At 44.3% G+C, this 22,682-nt stretch overlaps 1 protein-coding gene and 1 long non-coding RNA gene across 9 annotated transcripts in view, besides 1 other annotated feature; one reads left to right on the plus strand and one right to left on the minus strand.

Annotated features, from left to right (window-relative positions):
* Positions 1-11,977: 11,977 nt before the first annotated feature.
* RAI14-DT (RAI14 divergent transcript) lies at positions 11,978-19,042 on the minus strand. Its single transcript, NR_183264.1, has 3 exons — positions 18,862-19,042; positions 15,295-15,652; positions 11,978-14,593 (listed from the first exon to the last, which is right to left on the minus strand). It is a non-coding gene; the product is annotated as an RAI14 divergent transcript (long non-coding RNA).
* Positions 19,155-19,204: a silencer, noted in NCBI's record as "silent region_15966". NCBI's record gives its function as "represses an Ori minimal core promoter by ATAC-STARR-seq in GM12878 lymphoblastoid cells {active_cell/tissue: GM12878}" and the evidence as "EXISTENCE:reporter gene assay evidence [ECO:0000049][PMID:35858748]".
* Positions 19,197-22,682, plus strand: part of RAI14 (retinoic acid induced 14) — a 176,285-nt gene continuing 172,799 nt past the window's right edge. For 2 of the 8 annotated variants that reach the window (XM_047417088.1, XM_047417092.1), the window contains exons 1-2: positions 19,360-19,565; positions 21,865-21,941. The gene's annotated coding sequence lies outside the window, so the exon portion shown is untranslated. The other 6 variants (NM_015577.3, NM_001145522.2, NM_001145520.1 and 3 more) reach the window with 4 other exon arrangements.

The raw sequence follows: 22,682 nt of genomic DNA on the forward strand, positions 1-22,682 counted from the left end.
ACTTCGCCCTCCCAAAGTGCTGGGATTACAGGCATGGCTTACTATTAAAAATAATTTTTCTACTTGGGGTTTCCTGGACCATGTCAGTAGTGTAGGCACTAAATATCCATGGGGATAGGCTTGGGATTATAAATTCTCAGGAAAGTCTCATTTTTGTTTTTGTTTTTCATTCCTTTGACCAATGCCTGAGACAAACACATTTCCTTGTTGACTTCCTTTTGCCAGAAGATGGATTTTATTTTCCTAACCCAACTTTTCACTTGAGGGAGTTGGTATTTGGGACCCCTAGCTCCTTCCTTTACCCTAATTCTCCCACTGAAAACCAGGTTCCCAGGATCAGCAGATGCTCTGTGCTTCCGAGTTTTCACACCATTTTATTGCAACATTTTATTTCCTTTGAATCTCACTTACTTTCTTAGAAGTGTAGTTGTGCATTTGGCCAAATGTTTGGTGTGTCTTATCCAGTAATTTTTTGTGTTTGTGGAGGGGAATTTTTTTCAGAATTTCGCCAGCTCTGTTGCTAGAGGCAGAAGGTTTTCTCAGGCTCTGGAGGCTGGAGCTTCTGCAACCACTTAGACCTTCATCAGTCATGTATGAAGCAACTGTGCTCTTGCTTCAGTTTAGGGGAACACAGTGCCTCCTTTCTCCTGTGCTTCTGTGAATGAGGTTCCAATAACCCAGGGACATAGTCTGTTGTAGTGTATTAGTCCATTCTCACATTGCTATAAAGAAATAAAGAGACTGGGTAATTTACAAAGAAAAGAGGTTTCATTGACTCACAGTTCCACATGGCTGGGGAGGCCTCAGGAAACTTACAATCTTGGTGGAAGGGGAAGCAGGCACATCTTACATGGCAGCAGTCGAGAGAGAGAGAGAGAAAGAGAGAGAGATGTGAGAGCAAGTAGGGAAAACTTTCTGACAAAATCATCAGATTTTGTGAGAATTCACTCACTATCACAAGAACAGCATGGGGGAAACTGTCCCCATGATCCAATCACCTCCCAGTAGGTCCTTCCCTTGATACCTGGGGATTACAATTTGAGATGAGATTTGGGTAGGAACACAGAGCCAAACCATATCATGTAGCAAACAGATCCTGAGGCTAGGACTCAAAAAACCAGAGTTCTGCCGGCGCAGTGGTTCTTGCCTGTAATCCTAGCACTTTAGGAGGCCAAGATGGGTGGAACATCTAAGGTCAGGAGTTCAAGACCTGTCTGGCTAATATGGTGAAACCCCTTCTCTACTAAAAATATCAAAAAGTAGCCAGGTGTGGTGGCGGGCGCCTGTAACCCCAGCTACTCAGGAGGCTGAGACAGGAGAATTGCTTGAACCCGAGAGGCAGAGGCTGCAGTGAGTCGACATTGCACCATTGCATTCCAGCCTGGGCAACGAGAGCGAAACGCCCTCTCAAAAACACACACACACACACACACACACACACACACACCAGAGTTCTAGTTTTGACTCTTCTCTGTAGACAAATACCTAAGACTCTCTGAAACTGCTTTTCAAATCTGCAAAATAAGGTAGTAATTATTGCCTTAGGTTTTTTTTATAAGTAGGAGGGTAAAAATATGACAAGAGGATGTGAAAGTACTTTGTTAACTCTAAAGAAGACTGGTATAAATGCAAGCTACTCTGTAACTGACCCAAGATAAAGTACCAAGCATTCTCTCTGAAGAGCAATACTCTATGCTCAGATATGCCTGCTCCTAGGGTAGTATCTACCTATTGAGGGTCTTCAGAATCATTTGCCAGGACTAAAAATATATCATATTTTAGTAAACACACATATTGTGTAATATCAATATCTTCCTTTTATTTATAAGCAACACAAGGCTACAGTAGTAAAAAGGAGGGGTTGAAAGAAAACGAACTCTTAAATATTATACAAATTGTATACTCTTGCACCTTAGGTGTTCAGCCTATCTAAATATTTGTGCTCATTTAGTTTCATTTGTTTTGTTTTCATTCCTTGAATTTCTTCCAGATCTTTTCACATCATTTGAGTACCTTAGGCCAGATTCATTAGAAAAACATCTGCCCATTTGTCTCACCTGGACCAAAGGAGCCCACTCTGAACATCTCTAAGCTTTCCCATTTGCCTCTAGACTGTGTCTTTTTCAATGACCTGCCCCTTTGGAAAGGGCAAAGTGTAGATGTGCAGTGGGCATCTCCACCCTCATCCCCCCACTGTTTATGTTTGCCTCTGCATTTTGCAACCCAAAAGGGTTTATTTTTTTCTCCAATGTTTTAAAGATTTACTACCCACAGTAGTTCCTTAGATGAGCAGCTTCACAGAGAGCAGAAAAGGTACAGTGTTTTCACTGTGTCCAATATAAATTGAAGATGTTTCTAGCATGTTAGGGGCACTCACTTTTGACACACTTTGTCCAGCTGTAAGTTCAGTAAATTTCATTTTTTTCTCTTTCACAAATTCCCTTGGAGGATTCCTTAAACAAGTCTCTAGGTGTCAAACTTCTTCCTTAGGTTTTCCCAAGGGCAAATATATTCATTCCACATTTCCTGCCTAATGTGTGCCTTAACCTTTGCCTTCCAGCTGTGTACACTTCATGAAGATGGTCCCAACATTCACTGGATCACCTGACAAGGCAAGCAAGTGAGCACTCTCTCCATACAGTTGTCTGTTTTGAATCTGGTGGGCAGAGATATCACACTTTTCTCTGTACCTCCTGGAGGACGGGGAGGAAGGATAATGACATGAAAAACATGAAAAATATTTCTTTAATGACTATTTTAGTGGCTCCCATCTCCCTGTAACAGAAATGTGCTCACAAACCTTTATCCATGCTAAGATGGCTAGATGCTTACCTATGGTGGGCTGTGACTTTTGTGTCCCCAGTGAACCACGCTTCCCAGCATTCATGCCTGTGTACAGCCCTTCCCATGTGGACCCTGGCCTTGGCCATGTGACTAATTTTTGTCCATGGGATGTTGGCAAGCATGATGTAGCAGAGATTGATAAGCACTTGCACACTGGGGTGCATCCTTGTGGAACACTCCTTCTTGGAATCCAGCTGCCATTTTATGAGGAAGCCCAAGAAACTATGTGAAGGAGAACTGAGGTCCCAGCCAACAATCTCTAGCTGACTCCAGCCAGGGACCACCAGCAGCTACTGAGTGTATGAGTGAGGCCATTCCACATCTTTCAGCCATCCCAGGATCCCAGCTACTACCACATGAAGCAGAATGATCAACCCACAGAATTATAAGAAATACCAAGAAAATCACAAATACCTCACCCCTGACATCATTGAGTCAGTGATCCAAAGCCACCACTTTTCAAAATATGAGGAAAACAAGCCCCTATTTTATTAAAACCACTGTTATCTCAATACAGGCAGCTGCTTTGGATGCTAATCATGTTTCAGTGACCACGTTACTAGCATGGAAGCTCTGTAGTATGGTGTCGTTCTCAACTCTGGCTGCACATAAGAATAGCAATCTCTGTGAGTGGAGAAGAGTTTACAGTACTTATATTTTGGTTCCTGTAGCTTCATAAGATTTCAACAGAGTATTATGCCTCACATTTTCTTTTTTTATTATTATTATACTTAAATTCTAGGGTACATGTGCACAATGTGCAGGTTTGTTACATAGGTTTACATGTGCCATGTTGGTTTGCTGCACCCATTAACTCTTCATTTACATTAGGTATTTCTCCTAATGCTATCCCTCCCCCTGCCCCCGATCCCATGACAGGCCCCAGGGTGTGATGTTCTCCACCCTGTGTCCAAGTGTTCTCATTGTTCAATTATCACCTATGAGTGAAAACATGCAGTGTTTGGTTTTCTGTCCTTGTGATAGTTTGCTCGGAATGATGGTTTCCAGCTGCATCCATGTCCCTGCAAGGGACATGAACTCATCCTTTTTTATGACTGCATAGTATTCCATGGTGTATATGTGCCACATTTTCTTAATCCAGTCTATCATTGGTGGACATTTGGATTGGTTCCAAGTCTTCGCTATTGTGAATAGTGCTGCAATAAACATATGGGTGCATGTATCTTCATAGTAGCATGATTTATAATCCTTTGGGTATATACCCAATAATGGGGTTGCTGGGTCAAATGGTATTTCTAGTTCTAGATCCTTGAGGAATCACCACATTGTCTTCCACAATGGTTGAACTAGTTTACAGTCCCACCAACAATGTAAAAGTGTTCTTATTTCTCCACATTATCTCCAGCATCTGTTGTTTCCTGACTTTTTAATGATCATCATTTTAACTGGTGTGAGATGGTATCTCATTGTGGTTTTGATCTGCATTTCTCTGATGCCCAGTGATGATGAGCATTTTTTCATGTGTCTGTTGGCTGCATAAACGTTTTCACTTGAGAAGTGTCTGTTCACATCCTTTGCCCACTTGTTGATGGGGTACTTTTTTTCTTGTAAATTTGTTTAAGTTCTTTGTAGATTCTGGATATTAGCCCTTTGTCAGATGAGTAGATTGCAAACATTTTCTCCCATTCTGTAGGTTGCCTGTTCACTCTGATGGTAGTTTCTTTTGCTGTGCAGAAGCTCTTTAGTTTAATTAGATCCCATTTGTCTATTTTGGCGTTTGTTGCCATTGCTTTTGGTGTTTTAGACATGAAGTCCTTGACCCTGACTATGTCCTGAATGGTATTGCCTAGGGTTTCTTCTAGGATTTTTATGGTTTTAGGTCTAACGTTTAAGTCTTTAATCCATCTTGAATTAATTTTTGTGTAAGGTGTAAGGAAGCGATCCAGTTTCAGCTTTCTACATATGACTAGCCAGTTTTCCCAGCACCATTTATTAAATAGGGAATCCTTTCCCCATTTCTTGTTTTTGTCAGGTTTGTCAAAGATCAGATGGTTGTAGATGTGTGGTGTTACTTCTGAGGCCTGTGTTCTGTTCCATTGGTCTACATATCTGTTTTGGTACCAGTACCATGCTGTTTTGGTTACTGTAGACTTGTAGTATAGTTTGAAGTCAGGTAGCATGATGCCCCCAGCTTTGTTCTTTTTGCTTAGGATTGTCTTGGCAATGCAGGCTCTTTTTTGGTTCCATATGAACTTTAAAGTAGTTTTTTCCAATTCTGTGAAGAAAGTCATTGGTAGCTTGATGAGGATGGCATTGAATCTATAAATTACTTTGGGCAGTATGGCCATTTTCATTATATTGATTCTTTCTATCCATCAGCATGGAATGTTCTTCCATTTGTTTGTGTCTTCTTTTATTTCATCGAGCAGTGGTTTGTAGTTCTCCTTGAAGAGGCCTTTCACATCCCTAAGTCTGATTCCTAGGTATTTTATTCTCTTTGAAGCAAGTGTGAATGGGAGTTCACCCATGATTTGGCTCTCTGTTTGTCTGTTATTAGTATATAGGAATGCTTGTGATTTTTGCACATTGATTTTGTATCCTGAGACTTTGCTGAAGTTGCTTATCAGCTTAAGGAGATTTTGGGCTGAGATGATGGGGTTTTCTAAATATACAATCATGTCATCTGCAAAGAGAGACAATTTGACTTCCTCTCTTCCTATTTGAATATGCTTTATTTCTTACTCTTGACTGATTGCCCCGGCCAGAACTTCCAATGCTATATCGAACAGGAGTGGTGAGAGAGGGCATCCCTGTCTTGTGACAGTTTTCAAAGGGAATGCTTCCGGTTTTTGTCCATTCAGTATGATACTAGCTGTGGGTTTGTCATAAATAGCTCTTATTATTTTGAGATATGTTTCATCAATACATAGTTTATTGAGAGTTTTTAGCATGAGGGGCTGTTGAATTTTGTCGAAAGCCTTTTCTGCATTTATTGAGATAATCATGTGGTTTTTGTCACTGGTTCTGTTTATGTGGTGGATTATGTTTATTGATTTGCGTATGTTGAACCAGGCTTGCATCCCAGGGATGAAGCCCACTTGATCATGGTGGATAAGCTTTTTGATGTGCTGCTGGATTTGGTTTGCCAGTATTTTATTGAGGATTTTCACATCGATGTTCTCAGGGATATTGGTCTAAAATTCTCTTTTTTTGTTGTGTCTCTGCCAGGATTTGGTATCAGGATGATGCTGGCCTCATAAAATGAGTTAGGGAGTATTCCCTCTTTTTCTATTGATTGGAATAGTTTCAGAAGGAATGGTACCAGCTCCTCTTTGTACCTCTGGTAGAATTCGGCTGTGAATCTGTCTGGTCCTGGACTTTTTTTGGTTGGTAAGCTATTAATTATTGCCTCAATTTCAGAGCCTGTTATTGGTCTATTCAGAGATTCAACTTCTTCTTGGTTTAGTCTTAGGAGGGTGTATGTGTCCAGGAATTATTTCTCCTAGATTTTCTAGTTCATTTGTGTAGAGGTGTTTATAGTATTCTCTGATGGTAGTGTGCATTTCTGTGGGATTCGTGGTGATATCCCCTTTATCATTTTTTATTGCATCTATTTGATTCTTCTCTATTTTGTTCTTTATTAGTCTTACTAGTGGTCTGTCAATTTTGTTGATCTTTTCAGAAAAACAGCTCCTGGATTCGTTGATTTTTTGAAGGGTTTTTTGTGTCTCTATCTCCTTCAGTTCTGCTCTGATCTTAGTTATTTCTTGTCTTCTGCTAGCTTTTGAATTTGTTTGCTCTTGCTTCTCTAGTTCTTTTAATTGTGATGTTAGGGTGTTGATTTTAGATCTTTCTTGCTTTCTCTTGTGGGCATTTAGTGCTATAAATTTCCCTCTACAAGCTGCTTTAAATGTGTCCCAGAGATTCTGGTATGTTGTGTCTTTGTTCTCATTGGTTTCAAAGAACATCTTTATCTCTGCCTTCATTTCATTATTTACCCAGTAGTCATTCAGGAGCAGGTTGTTCAGTTTCCATACAGTTGTGCGGTTTTGAGTGAGTTTCTTAATCCTGAGTTCTAATTTGATTGCACTGTGGTCTGACAGACAGTTTGTTGTGATTTCTGTTCTTTTACATTTGCTGAGGAGTGCTTTACTTCCAACCATGTGGTCAATTTTGGAATAAGTGCGATGTGGTGTTGAGAAGAATGTACATTCTGTTGATTTGGGGTGGAGAGTTCTGTAGATGTCTATTAGGTCCTCTTGGTGCAGAGCTGAGTTCAAGTCCTGCATATCCTTGTTAACCTTCTGTCTCCTTGATCTGTCTAATATTGAAAGTGGGGTATTAAAGTCTCCCATTATTACTGTGTGGGAGTCTAAGTCTCTTTGTAGGTCTCTAAGGACTTGCTTTATGAATCTGGGTGCTCCTGTATTGGGTGCATATATATTTAGGATAGTTAACTCTTCTTATTGAATTGATCCCTTTACCATTGTGTAATGGCCTTCTTTGTCTCTTTTGATCTTTGTTGGTTTAAAGCCTGTTTTCTCGGAGAGTAGGATTGCAACCCCTGCTTTTTTTTGCTTTCCATTTGCTTGGTAGGTCTTTCTCCATCCCTTTATTTTGAACCTATGTGTGTCTCAGCACGTGAGATGGGTCTCCTGAATATGGTACACTGATGGGTCTTGACTCTTTATCCAATTTGCCAGTCTGTGTCTTTTAATTGGGACATTCAGGCCATTGACATTTAAGGTTAATATTGTTATGTGTGAATTTGATCCTGTCATTATGATGTTAGTTGGTTATTTTGCCCGTTAATTGATGCAGTTTCTTCCTAGCATCGATGGTCTTTACAATTTGGCATGTTTTTGCAGTGGCTGGTACCGTTTGTTCCTTTCCATGTTTAGTGCTTCCTTTAGGAGCTCTTGTAAGGCAGGCCTGGTGATGACAAAGTCTCTCAGCATTTGCTTGTCTGTAAAGGATTTTATTTCTCTTTCACTTATGAAGCTTACTTTGGCTGGATATGACATTCTGGGCTGAAAATTCTTTTCTTTAAGAATGTTGTATATTGGCCCCCACTGTCTTCTGGCTTGTAGAGTTTCTGCCGAGAGATCAGCTGTTAGTGTGATGGGCTTCCCTTTGTGGGTAACCCGACCTTCCTCTCTGTCTCCCCTTAACATTTTTCCTTCATTTCAACCTTGGTGAATCTGACGATTATGTGTCTTGGGGCTGAACTTCTTGAGGAGTATCTTTGTGGTGTTCTCTGTATTTCCTGAATTTGAATGTTAGCCTGCCTTGCTAGGTTGGGGAGGTTCTCCTCGATGATAACCTGAAGAGTGTCTTCCAAGTTGGTTCTATTCTCCCCATCACTTTCGGGTACACCAATCAAACGTAGATTTGGTCTTTTCACATAGTGCCATATTTCTTGGAGGCTTTGTTTGTTTCTTTTTACTCCTTTTTCTCTAAACTTCTCTTCTTGCTTTATTTCATTAATTTGATCTTCAATCACTGATACCCTTTCTTCCACTTGATGAAATCAGCTATTGAAGCTTGTGCATGCATCACGTAGTTCTCATGCCATGGTTTTCAGCTCCATCAGTTCATTTAAGGTCTTCTTTACACTGTTTATTCTAGTTAGCCATTCGTCTAATCTTTTTTCAAGGTTTTTAGCTTCCTTGCGATGGGTTCAAACATCCTCCTTTAGCTCGGAGAAGTTTGTTATTACCAAACTTCTGAAGCCTACTCCTGTCAGCTCGTCAAAGTCATTCTCCATCCAGCTTTGTTCCTTTGCTGGCAAGGAGCTGCGATCCTTTGGAAGAGAAGAGGTGCTCTGATTTTTAGAATGTTCAGCTTTTCTGCTCTGGTTTCTCCCCATCTTTGTGGTTTTATCTACCTTTGGTCTTTGATGATGGTGACCTACAGATGGGGTTTTGGTGTGGATGTCCTTTTTGTTGATGCTGATGCTATTCCTTTCCGTTTGTTAGTTTTCCTTCTAACAGTCAGGTCCCTCAGCTGCAGGTCTGTTGGAGTTTGCTGGAGGTCCACTCCAGACCCTGTTTGCCTGGGTATCACCAGCAGAGGCTACAGAACAGCAAATATTGCAGAACAGCAACTATTGCTGCCTGATCCTTCCCCTGGAAGCTTGGTCTCTGCCTCTATGAGGTGTCTTCCCCTGCCTCTGTGAGGTGTCAGTTGGCCCCTACTGGGAAGTGTCTCCCAGTTAGGCTACATGAGGTTCAGAGACCCACTTGAGGAGGCAGTCTGTCTGTTCTCTGAGCTCAAACACCATTCTGGGAGAACCACTGCTCCTTCAGAGCTGTCAGACAGGGAAATTTAAGTCTGCAGAAGTTTCTGCTGCCTTCTGTTCAGCTATGTGCTGCCCAGAGGTGCCCCCAGAGGCCTTGCTGAGCTGCAGTGGTCTCCACCCAGTTCGAGCTTCTCTAGCTGCTTTGTTTACCTACTCAAGCCTCAGCAATGGCGGATGCCCCTCCTACTGCCAGGCTGCTGCCTTGCAGGCCGATCTCAGACTACTGCGCTAGCAGTGAGCAAGGCTCCATGGGCATGGGACCCGCTGAGCTAGGTGCGGGATACAATCTCCTGGTGTTCCATTTGCTAAGACCATTGGAAAAGCACAGTATTTGGGTGAGAGTGTCCTGTTTTTCCAAGTACAGTCTGTCACTGCTTCCCTTGGCTAGGAAAGTGAACTCCCCTGACCCCTTGTGCTTCCCGGGTGAGGCGATGCCCCGCTCTGCTTCAGCTCACCCTCCATGGGCTGCACCCACTGTCCAACCAGTCCCAATGAGATGAACCATGTACCTCAGCTGGAAATGCAGAAATCACTCATCTTCTGTGTCCATCACACTGGGAGCTGCAGACCAGAGCTGTTCCTATTCGGCCATCTTGGAATGGACTCCCCTATGCCTCACATTTTCAAGGGCACAGCTTGCTGGGCAACAAGGCTTGGCAAAACTGCAGAATAGCACCAAAGGACTAGATAGCTGGCTTGGTGTGGTGGCTCACGCCTGTAATCCCAACACTTTGGGAGGCCAAGGCTGGTGGATCACCTGAGGTCAGGAGTTTGAGACCAGCCTGTATAACATGGCAAAAACCCACCTCTACTTAAAATACAAAAACTAGCTGGGTATGGTGGTGGGTGCCTGTAATCCCAGCTACTGGGGAGGCTGAGGCATGAGAATCACTCGAACCTGGGAGGTAGAGGTTGCAGTGAGCTGAGATCGCGCCACTGCACTCCAGCCTGGGCAACAGAGCGAGACTCCATCTCAAAAAAAAAAAAGAGCTAGATAACAACATGAAGTCAGTTGCTGACTTCTTTTGTTGACCATCTGTCCATGAATATCAATATGCCATCTCTCCAATCTCTCCAGACAGGACAGAAGCTCCTTGAGGGTTGAGAACATCTCATATTTCTTTTTTGTGTATGTGTGCAATGTTGTATCTTACATACCAGTCAATAAATAAAGTTTCCATTTAAAACTTAGCAAATGGCATCTTAGAAATGTTAATCTTTGATCTATGACCTTTTTAAAGACAGTTGAATTAATTTCCATAGATACCACTCTCTTATTTCCCCTCAGACTTTACAACTGTCTTATGCTTCTCAATGTTAGTAATATTTACTGATATTATTTATTTAGTTCTTACTCTGTGCCAGACACTATTGTACAGGCTTCGTATATATTAATTATTTAATCTCCAAAATAACCCAAGAGGCAGGTACTAATGTTACCCCCATTTGGCAGATAAGGAAAATGAAGCCAAGGGAGATTAAGTAATCTGCCCCCAAAAACACAGCTACTAAGTGGAGAAACTGGGGTTTAAATTTACTACCTGATAGAGGACTTCTTGTTTCCCTTCTTAAAATAAATTCTTTCATTTTTTTTCTTTAGTCCATATTTAAAAACAAAGAGAAGAGTCAGGCACAGTGGTGCATGCGTGTTGTCCCAGCTACTTGGGAGGCTGAGGTGGGAAAATCCATTGAGCCCAGGAGTTTGAGACCAGCCTGGGTGACATAGCAAGACCCTGTCTCAAAACATAGTTAATAAAAAATACATTTTAGTCTAGACACGGGGGCTCCCAGGACTTTGGGAAGTCAAGGTGGGAGGATCGCTTGCACTCAGAAGTTCGAGATAAGCCTGGGCAACAAAGTGAGACCCTATCTCTATAGAAACAAACAAACAAAGTCCCACAAGGTAAATAATAACAATACTAATAAATAAATACAATATTTTTAAAAAGAGAAAATAAAAGTGATTTTCACCATGAATGCTGCCCAGTAGCTGACAACTGCTTGGGGGTGTAGAAGCCCACTCTTGAGGCCATGCTAGGAGAACCCCTGCCTGGGTGTGCCTTCTTTGTTCTCACTGACCATCTGCAGAACTGGTCTCACTCACACCATTCAAAAATTTATCCAAAATACCACTCTAAACTCTAATGATTTTCCATCCCTCTCAAACAAACATGCAAATCAGCTTGGCCAGACTTGGAGCAGAAGGCAGTGTGGTCAGGAAGGGAGAATCCAGATGAGAAGGAGCACACAGGATGTTCTCATAATTTACATTTGTTCATATGAGCATGTTATGTTGGATGTAAATGGAGAGCGTCCTCTTAAGACACACAGTTTAAGTAAAAATATTTCAAAATGCTTCCCAGAAACCCACAAAGCAAACACGAGACCCACTCAGACCTCTACAACCCTCTCTTTGACCTTGATCCCTGAGTCTTTTGGTGGCAAGTTTCCCAGGCTCACTCGGTGCCACCTTACTTTGTTTTCTGGTTCTCTCCAAGGGCTTCCAAAATTCCCTTCCCTGTTACATAATCTGAAAGGACAAACTTCCCTCTGGTTGGCCAAAAGTGACCTGGATATCCTTAACACCAGAATCTTCCCTCCCCACTTTTGTGGTCTATTATCCTGAAGTCAGTATGTCTTCTTGGCTTTTGTGTTCTCAGCCTTCCAGGAATCCACAAGTGGAAGTCGCATGGCCTCTCTTCCTGCTTCTGGTGGCTTCTGGGACCTTCCACTCTAAACTCTAATCATTTAGAAGGAATGCTATTCATGTGGAAGGAATATTTTCACAGCGGTCTCCCTGACTCCCACAGTTCCATCCCTCTCCTCTTTTCTGGTTCCATGTTCTGGCATGTCACAGTATAGTCAAGCACATTTTCACAGCCTTCATCTTTTTATTCTGGAACTCAAACCAGAAGTCTAAGACAAAAAACTACATGGCTCTTTTTGAAAGAGAAGGCAAAAAAAGAATAATAATTTAGATAGAAGAATTCTCATCCTGAATGTGAGAAACCTGCTTAAAGTGCATAGCTGGATAGTTACAAAAGTTTGTATTAAAGCAAAACAAAGAACTTGTGGAATGTTTTCAGTATCTTCACAGTAGGCCGGGCATGGTAGCTCACACCTATAATCCCAGCACTTTGGGAGGCTGAGGTAGGCAGATCACTTGAGGTCAGGAGTTCGAGACCAGCCTGGCCAACATGGTGAAACCCCATCTCTACTAAAATACAAAAATTAGATGGGCATTGTGGTGTGCACCTGTAATCCCAGCTACTCGGAAGGATGAGGCAGGAGAATCGCTTGAACCAGGAGGCAGAGGCTGCAGTGAGCTGAGATTGCCCCACTGCACTCTAGCCTTGGTGACAGAGTGAGACTCTGTCTCAAAAAAAAAAAAACTATATATATAGATATAGATACATATCTTCACAGTAGTACAGCCATATGTCTTAAGCATGACCAATCTGCTGTGAAAAGTGTCTCTTAAAACTGTGTTCATGGTCGAGTGTGGTGGCTCATACCTATAATCCCAGTACTTGGGAAGGCCAAGGCAAGAGGGTCACTTGAGCCCAGGAGCTTGAGACTAGCGTAGGCAACATGGTGAGACCCTGTCACTACAAAAAATAAAAAATTTAAGTGAACATGGTGGCATATACTTGTGGTCCCAGCTACTTGGGAGGCTGAGGCAAGAGGATCAGTTGAGCCCAGGAGGTCGAGGCTACAGTGAGTTGTGTGCCACTGTGCTCCAGCTTAGGTGACAGAGTGAGACCATCTCAAAAAAAAAAAAAAAAAGAAAAGAAAAAAAATGTTCACTCATACAGTACAAAGATAGATTTTTAAAACTATGTAGTCTACTAAGGATTTTAAAGAAAGCAAACAAAAAATGGAAGAATGAAAATGAATAACAGAAGCCAAATGGATACAGAGCCTTTGAAAAACATGAACAAAGCCGGGTGTGGTGGCATGTACCTGTAGTCCCAGCTACTGGGGAGGCTGAAGTGAGAGGATCACTTGAGCATGGGGTTGCAGTAAGCCGAGGTCGCACCACTGCACTCCAGCCTGGGCGACAGAGCAAGAACTTATCCAAAAAAAAAAAAAAAAGGCTGGGCGCAGTGGCTCATGCCTGTAATCCCAGCACTTTGGGAGGCTGAGGCAGGTGAATCACAAGGTCAGGAGTTTGAGTCCAGCCTGGCCAATATGGTGAAATCTCTGTCTCTACTAAAAAAAAATACAAAAATTATCCAGGCGTAGTGGTGGATGCCTGTAGTCCTAGCTACCCAGGAGGCTGAGGAAGGAGAGTCGCTTGAACCTGGGAGGCGGAAATTGCAGTGAGCTGAGATCATGCCATTGCACTCCAGCCTGGGTGACAGAGCGAGACTCCATCTCAAAAAAAAAAAGGAAAAGAAAAACATAGACAAGAAACCATTAATAGATTTGAAATAATTCATCAGCAAAAGTAGTACACAGATTTACTACCGGTGCACTATTTGGATAAGAAAGAACACAAAATATCTCATAAGCAGAAATTGACCTCAATGAAGAAAACAGGAATCTCAGAGGGCAGGTTTAACTCCATAATAGAAAACAAATGTACCAGAGAGATACCAACAAAAATAGCAACTCAGTTTAGAATCACTCTGTCAAGAAATCTTTCTGGAGCATCAACTTTTGCAAGGTCCATGGCAAGAACCACCCCACCCTTTTTACCTAATTTCCCTCTGCTTGCAATGCTAAGTCAAGAGCCAGATGCTCTGACATGGCTGGGACAACCAATAAAGCAGTGGCCCCATTTAATGATGATCTAGGGAAAGACTGTAAAATACCAATGCTTGGGCCCCACACCAGACCACTTTAGTAAGTATCCTAGGGTATGGGGCCAAGGCAGTTGGTGACTTTTAAAAGCAGGTGATTCTAAATGGGCTGCCAAGATTGTGATCCACTGTAGAGGAAGCAAGAAAAGCTGCACCTGGTGTACTTGTGGCTCCAAACACCACATTATTGCTTCTGACTCTGTGCTTTGTGGAAACCACTTCTCTTAGTCTTCTGATAACCCATTAACTGCCTTCTTGATGTTCATGAACTCCTCATAATACCCTCCTCCAGCACCGTAATTGGAGAATATTTTATGGAATTTCTGATATGCATAGCCGAACAACCAACTTGGCCATACTGATGGCTATTTGGATCTTAAAAATGTCCTTTTGAAGAAGAGAAGGCCACCAAGATTAGCTTTCCATTTTTATTTGCCTGTTCCAAGGCTGATGTCGCTTGGGTCCTAAGTGCTCTCATAGCAGTCTTCTGCCTGCAGAACGGGGAGAAGTAATGAGGTCAATATCAGAGTTTGTAAATACAGGCAGCCTGAAGACAATATACAGAGGAGTGTTTCAAAGGTCCACTCTGGTCAGGCATCCAAGCTTTGATTCTCGGCTCCACTCTTTCTGGTTTTACGACTTGGGCAAGTTGCTGGATCTACTTGAAACTCAGTTTCTGCACCTGTGAAAACAGGGTAATACTACATCCAAGTTGCTGTGAGGATTAAGAAAAATCTCCCACCTACTAAAATTTCAATCCTATGTTAGCTCTTAGCAGAGAGTGTTGCACAGCAGTTAAGAATGATGCCTCTGGAGTCAGCTTACCCTCGTTTAAATCCCAGCATTGCTACTCACTAGCTGAGTGGCTTTGGGCAAGTTACTTAATCTCTCTGTGCTCCAGTTCCCTCTTGTGCCCCAAAGGGATAATTATACCTACAGGGCTGATGTCATGATTAAATGACCTAACATTAGGACGACCTGACATCCCAGTTTGCTTAGGACAGTTCCAGTTTCTGCCTTTAGTCCTAGTGTTCTGGCTGGCTTAGAAGTTACCCATCCTCTTTCACTCTCAAAATTGTCCCAGATTAGACAATTAAGTAGACAGTCATCATAGTTAATATATACATGGCATAGAAAAGTACTTAGTATAGAATAGCTGCTAAATATGTGTTAGCTGCTAATATTAGCTCCTACAGCAGTACTAACCAATAGAAATATGTAAGCCATGTATACTTTTAAATTTTCAGCAACCACATTTCTAAAGGTAAAAAAGAAATAGGTGAAATTAGTGTTGAGATTTAACCCAATATATCCCAAAATTATTTCAATGCCTAATATAAAAAGTATTAGTGAGACATTTTTTTCATTTTGTAAAATACTAACTCTTTGAAATCTGGTGTGAATTGCATTTACAGCACAGCACAATTCAGACTAGCAACATTTCAAGTGTCCAGCAGCCATGTGTGGCTAGCAGCTAACATGCTGCCCAGCACAGCTCTGAGGATTTATATTCCTCCCGTGTGATGATGGACCAGAGAGTCTTACAGCCTTCTCAGGTCTGTAATGCCGAGTTTGAGATGCTTAGCTTCTCTGCCACACTCTGCAAGCAGGGCACTGATGCAGGTCTTCGGAATGTATTTATTGCCAAAGATCTTAGCCTCGTTTCCTCGGCAGGTGCCCAACCTCACTGAGAAGAATATTGTAGTAGCCTCTTACCCTTGGAGAAATCTCTGCTGACTCCCTGGCAAGTGGAAAAACCATGAGCCAATTAGTGTTTTGCAGGCTACTTCATTACTATGGTCTTACTAATTATGAAAAGGAATGCCAAGGTTATTTTATTAATTTTCCCATGTTACAGTTTTCTTCTATTTGGAAACATCCCCAGGAAAATACAAAAAGTGTTTTTTCTATGAATATTTGGACTTTTTCTGGTAGATTATCTCCCTCCAACCTTCTGATTGTGTTATTGCATTTTTATTCTATTCTCTGGACTGGGTCCAATATCTCCACATTCCTCTAAATCATGCTGCCTCTAACTAGACCCAGAAGTACAGTCAGCTCCTGACCAAACACCAAATAAAGTGGAGAATGACTTTTTGGCTGTGGTGTGATATCTATCTCTCCTTCCTCCTGCAGGGGCAGTTTCTTGTTATCCCAACAAGTCTTAGCTTTGGTTCCTCAGACTTGGGCAATCAAGATACTCATAATCTAAGAAGAACCAGTATTGATGAAGGATGAGCAAGGAAAAAGGGATGATATCATTTAATCTCAAGAATAAAAATTGAGCCCACTCAATCAATGAATTTCATTTGTGATGTCCTGGATGGCAACACTCTTTGGAGTTTACAATTGTATTGCTTTGACAAGACTGACCTGCTAGTGTGATCAGAAAACAATGTTTCGTCATGAAATGACAGGGCAGTTTTGCTTATGAAGGGTCTACAAACTAAGAGAATAGGTTTAGGATGTCAGAACTGAAAAAGATCGGGTATGGTGGCACATGCCTGTAATCCCAGCACTTTGGGAGGCCGAGGCAGGCAGATCGCTTGAGCCCAGGAGTTCGAGACCAGTCTGGGCAACATGGCGTAACCCTGTCTCTACCAAAAGTACAAAAAAAAAAAAAAAAAAAAAATTACCGGGTGTGGTGGCCCACACCTGTAGTCCCAGCTAGTGAGGTGGGACCTGGGGGCTGAGGTGGGAGGAAAGCTTCAGCTTGGAGGTTGAGGCTGCAGTGAGCCATGATTGTGCCACTGCACTCCTGCCTGGGCACCAAAGTGAGACAAAGATAGAAAGAAGACAGAGAGAGAGAGAGAAAGGAAGGAAGGAAGGAAGGAAGGAAAAAAAGGAAAAGAAGGAAAGAGAGAAAAAAGAAAACAAAAGAAAAGAAAGATCTTGGAGGTCATGTACTTTGATGTTCCCTTCTACTAATGAGGAAAGGGGGAACAGGGGAAGTTAAAACCCTTGGTGAAGGTCAAATGGCAAGTAAGCAAAAGAAATGGGTCAGGAAACCCAGTCTCCTTGCTCTTGGTGCTCATGGCACTACATATTACACTGCTGTTACCTTGATATTTGGATAAAGGAATGCAACATACTGCTCCTCCCAAAAGGTTTTACTACTTTACACAGGTTAGCTGGTCATTTTATTTTTGCTTCTTTAACTCAACCCCTTTCACCTGGGCCTAGTTCTCATCAAAGGGTGGTATTCAATGTATCCAATGAACCCAATTAGCATTTCTAAAACGCCTGGGCAACACAACCAATAAGAAGATGCTATTGAACCTCTTACTTCCCCACTAATCCCCCTGCAGTTGGCAGAACTTAGCTGCCATGCTCAGTCTACAGACTACAAAGTTGCTTTGAGTTTCAAAAGTGGGGATCTGGAAAAGGATCTTGGCACAGCCCAAAAAAATAAGAATACTTTCACAACGATCCCTCATCCAGAGTTAGACTTGCTGACTTTAGAGGGTGGGAGTGTAAACTAAGGAGAATCATATACAAACCACCTATGGGAATCTAAGAGGTGATAGGCTGGTAGGCTCTTTGGAGGTGGCTGGGACAGAGAAAAAAGAAGAGGGACAGGACCTCTGTGAATCAAAGTCAGATGTGCCTGCCTTAGACAATCATTGTTTAATGTTGTCTAATATTTTAACTCCTTCAAAATGTCAACTGTTCCTACAGAATACACACATGTCAAATTTCCAAGACAGCATCATCTACCTGTACCATGCTCCAAATCCCATCCTCCCAGCTGCCCCTACTTGAACCAGACTGACCTGCAAAAATAGAGCAGAAAACTCACAGGCAGTAATGTTCCCCTTAAATACCCTACAATATGTCATTAACAAGAATCACGATGAAACACTATTGTAGAAATTGCCAGCATTAAACCAAAAGAATGTTGGTCAGTTCATGTTTCTTTTACAGTGTGACTTTGTTTGAGAGGGATAAAGGACAGGAAGAGGAGTGTACATCTTGCTTTAGCTGTTCCTCACTTGGCTAAGGAACTTTTGCTGTAGGAAGTGAAGACCCTGCACCTAGTTACAAGGCTTTTGATGCTTGTTTGTCAAGTTCAACTGTTAAAGGGGAGATAGGCTCTTCCCTAGTAGGGAGAGGGAGGAAGGAAAGGGGGATGGGGCGGGGGGAGGGAACAGGTAATATCTGCCATATAAATATTAGTATGTAGCTGACACGTTATAAACTGAGCTGTTAGGGTGAATTTCAATTTTGTTGGAATCGACCTTTTTTCCCTCTTAAGTTCAATTGACTTACAGTAGATCCCAGAAAGAACTCAATACGTTATTTATTCTAGAAAGCTTTCTTCCCTGAGCAAAGGAGGCAGAGCTAACGAGGAGAAGGGAGGAGCTTAGGTGAACAGAACTGAAGTCACAGCTGGTTAGCATGACTAGAATGCATGGAAAAGCCAGCCCAAATTAGATGAGTGGGTAGATAGAGAGCTTTGAAATCCTTGGAATTAATGGTGGAGTCCATCGTAATTGAAAGGTCGGGCCTTAGTGGGCTGGGATAGGGAGAGAAGCTGTCGGGGACCTGGGGCAGTGAGCCTGTACCCCGTGGCTTCTCACACACTATTTTGAAGGCGTTCCCATGCGCAATCTCGCCTGTCAGTTCAGGCTGTAGGTTTCTCCTTTCTAACTCCTGAGCAGAACAACACTGAACGGTGGTAGTCTTGCCTTGCCACCCAATGAGTGCTAGAAAACAGTCACTTCAACCAATTGGTTCAGTCCGGAGAACGTGAGCACATTCTACTTTACTTTCTGTTCAATGATTTTGGAAAACAACCTTTTAGATTCTGGTCAGAAGGGGCTTGGATCCGTGACTTTGAAACACTCGCCACTACCACAAACGACTTTGGAAGTTAATCAGAAATAAACAGTATCTGGGATCTCATCCGTCCTAAACCCAGGGGTCAGAGCGTGGGGGGCTTCCACTAACTTCAGGTTAAGAGGATGAAACAGATCCGCGGAGAAGGGTCCCACGATCCCTGGAGACTAAAAGCAAGCCACGAACAGCCGGGACGCGCGGGCCGGGGAGATGCGCCGGGGGCTGGAGGGCGGAGAGCACCCCCCGCAGGTCCCGGCCAGAGCCCGGGGCCGGGTCACCTGACTCGCGGAATTTGGGGCCGCGAGGGGTGGAATGGGAGGGGAATGGTTAGCGCCTCCCTTCCCGCTCCCACTGGATCCAGGTCGGCGGGGGCCGGCGCCCGGCGGCCACGTGGTGGTGCTGCCGCTGCCCCCGCCCCGCCGGCCTAGCCCGGGAGCTCGGCGCCCACTGACCCCCGCAGCGGGGGAGGAGGAGGGACTGCGGCGCAGGAAGCCGAGCAGGAAGCGAGCCCGGCGGCCGCGTTTTCCTGGGGAAGCGGCGGGCGGGGTGGAGCAGCCAGCTGGGTCCGGGGAGCGCCGCCGCCGCCTCGATGGGGTGAGTGCGCGGCACGGAGTTGGGAGGCTCCCGGCGCGGGGTCCCGGGCTCGTGTCCCCGCCTTTGTGTCTGGAGCTCGGGCGCGGGAGGCGCTGGGGACGGCGCCCGGGCGGAGCGGCTGAGCGGGCTGCAGCCGGGGTCCCGCCACCTCTCCCTGGTCCACCGCCGGCAGCCCACTGTCTGCGGAGAGCAGATCTGGGGACAAGAGGAAGGAGAGGAAGGTGGAGATGAGGGTAGAGCGGGAAGACCCGGCCAAGTTAGGAGAAGGGTTCTTCCCGGGTCCTCCGCGACTCGCAGGCCGGCTGGGGCGGGGCGCGGGGCAGGGGCCGCGGCGGAGGGAGCGCGGGTGGGAATGAATGAGCAGACCCGGAGATGCACCCTGGAGTCTGCGCCGGGTCCCACCTGTTTCGCCCCGCGCGGCGCCTCGCTGCCCCCGCGTCGGTGCTGCTGAGCCCAATCCGCCTCCCGGCTGAACTTGGAGGAGGTGGGGAGGGAGGTGCGAGCGGGAGACTCCGGGTGGCTCCCAGGACGCGGGGTCCGCTATTGTTCCTCCTCTGACTCCAGGGAGCCCCTCGGCCGGCCCAAGGGCGGGGGCGAGACCCCTCTGGGCCTGCCCCTGCCCCCTACCTTGTTTTCCCCGCCGCAGCTCGGGGAGAACGGATGCTGGAGTTGGGGCAGACTCGGGGCCGCCGGGACTTCGGGAGTAAGGAGGACGTGGAGCCACCAGAAAGGCGCCCGCCATCTCCCGCGACCCCTGCCTGGTGGGGGGTGGGGGGTGGGGTGTCGTCCTCAACCACCTTCGCTGCCTTCTTGGGCAGGTTGGTGTCGGTTTAGTTTCTGCGGTTTGCAGGGTTGACATCCTAACTCCTTTGAGTTTCGCATCCCCCTTTTGTGGAGGGGGCTCAGAGCCTGGAGAAGCAACAGACGGGGAATTAAGGCAGATGCAGCCCAGCACAGCGTGGAGGGGTCCGAAGTGGCCTCACGGGGGCCTGAGCATGGCTGTCTTTCCAGGCTCCTCTTTATTTGCCAGGAGCCCAGCTAAGCCCAACTTTACTCCCAGAAATGTTGAGGGGAATCTGCGGACTCGAGGCCCCTCGCCTCGGGACCAGCGGCTTCTCTTCGCCGCAGCTCACGCATGATCGGGGTGGGATTCCGTCTTCCTTCCGGGAGAGGAGAATGCCCAGCTGCCTGGGATGGGGAAACGTTGCCGGATCTCTGGGGAATGTGGTCTCAAGGCTGCAGGGGCCTGGCAGAGAGGAACTGTCCATCACTAGGACATAGCCGAAGCTCGCCTTAGCGAAGAGAGTCTCACCTCCTCGGGCTTTGCACAGAGTTGGAGAAGAGGTCGGGAATCACAGGGAGGCTGGATTTTGGCTGCTCTGTCCCCAGCCTGCAGGTCCCTGTTCGCCCTGTGGCTCGGAATTTTATTACTGATGTATATAATCTGATAATCTTTTCTTAATGATGCCTAACAAGTGTGATTTTTTTCCCCCTTGGGTTTGTAAGACAGTTGATTTTATGTGAGGAGATTGATCCAGTTCTTATATTTTAGCCAGTGCTTGTCTAACAGAGATTGGGAGAGCTATCCCGTGCTGGGCTGTTGCACAGTTTTCATCTCCATTCACTGAGATGCTTCAGTAATGAATTTATTGTTTTATGGCTTTTTGGAGATGGTGGTGGTGGTGGTGTGATTATAACCCTGCTGGAAAATCTTATTACTGTTATCTGAATTGAAGAGACAGAAAGGATGCTGAGCCCCCTAGGGATTCCGTAGGGGAATGATGTAGTGTCCCGCCCACCAGTAGTGAACCTGACAGTGAAATTCTCTCTCCAGTCTGCTAGTTTTCAAAGCATGTTCTAGGCAGGTACACGTACTATCACCTAGGCTTTAAAAGTGAAGAAGCAGATTTGGAGGTTAAGAACAACTGGGCCTTGGAATTAATAGAATGCAGTGGACAACTTTTGCCTCTCCTTCCTCCACCCCCTCCCTCCCTTCCTTCTTTCCTTTTTTTTCATCCTTTAAAAATAAAAATAAGGGCCAGGCATGGTGCTTATGCCTGTAATCCCAGCACTTTGGGAGGCCGAGGCAGGCGGATCATGAGGTCAGGAGATCGAGACCATCCTGGCCAACACAGTGAAACCCCGTCTCTACTAAAAATACAAAAAATAAAAATTAGCTGGGCGTGGTGGCACGCACTTGTAATCCCAGCTACTTGAGAGGCTGAGGCAGGAGAATCGCTTGAACCCGGGAGGTGGAGGTTGCAGTGAGCTGGGATTGCGCCACTGCACTCCAACCTGGCGACAGAGCAAGACTCTGTCTCAAATAAATAAATAAATAAATAAGTATGAAATATTTCTAACATACATAAAAACAGAGTATAGTAAGCCATTTTGTCTTCTACTTCCTAGGTTTAATAGTTGCTAATATTTTCATATTTGATCCATACCTCTCCCCCCCCGGAAAAATAAACTATAACTTAAATATTTGATCTATTCCTACTCCTTTGCCTCCATCCTCAGGTAACCTCTAATGTGAAGTTAGCGCACACAGTTCTCAAGCATGTTTGGAACTACACTGTATCCACAAAAAAATACATGTGAGTTTGTGTTTAACATTTTACATAAATGGCATAATTCTACCTATGTATAGCTTGCATTTTTAACTTACTATGTTTTTGAGATACATGTGTTAATAGATCTTTATTCACTTTAGCTGTTACAGAGAATCCCAGTGTATGAAAAAAGTATAGTATATTTACTCCCTTGCCAAGAGTAAGTTAGGGTTTCTGGTTTTTCACTGTTTTTTGTTTGAGCTGCGGTCTCGCTCTGTCACCCAGGCTGGAGTGCAGTATCGTGATCACTGCTCACTACAGCCTCAATCTCCTGGGCTCAAGCAGTCCTCCTGCCTCATCCTCCAAAGTGGCTGGGACCACAGGCACATGCCACCATGCCTGGCTAATTTTTTTCATTTTTGTAGAGACAGGGTCTTACTATGTTGCTCAGGCTGGCCTTGAACTCTCAGCCTCAAGTGAGCCTTCTACCTCAGCCTTCCACAGTGCATGAGCCACTGTGCCTGGCCTAGTTTTTCACTGTTACACTTTTTCTGCTGAGTGACACTCTATTTCCATTTTCATTTTTATTTTTATTTCTTTTTACTATAACAGTTTGTACAATAAACATCCTGAGATGTTTTCTTGTGCACACATTTTTCTGTTACACACTTATTTAGTTAGTTGCTGGGTAATGAAGTTTAGGTAATATTGCATTTATTATTCATTCTTCAACAAATATTTAGGGTGCTTGTATGGTCTTGGCTATCTGTTGACTAAAAAAGTGAA

The sequence above is a fragment of the Homo sapiens genome, chromosome 5 (assembly GCF_000001405.40).
Source record: "Homo sapiens chromosome 5, GRCh38.p14 Primary Assembly".
NCBI lineage: Eukaryota > Metazoa > Chordata > Mammalia > Primates > Hominidae > Homo > Homo sapiens.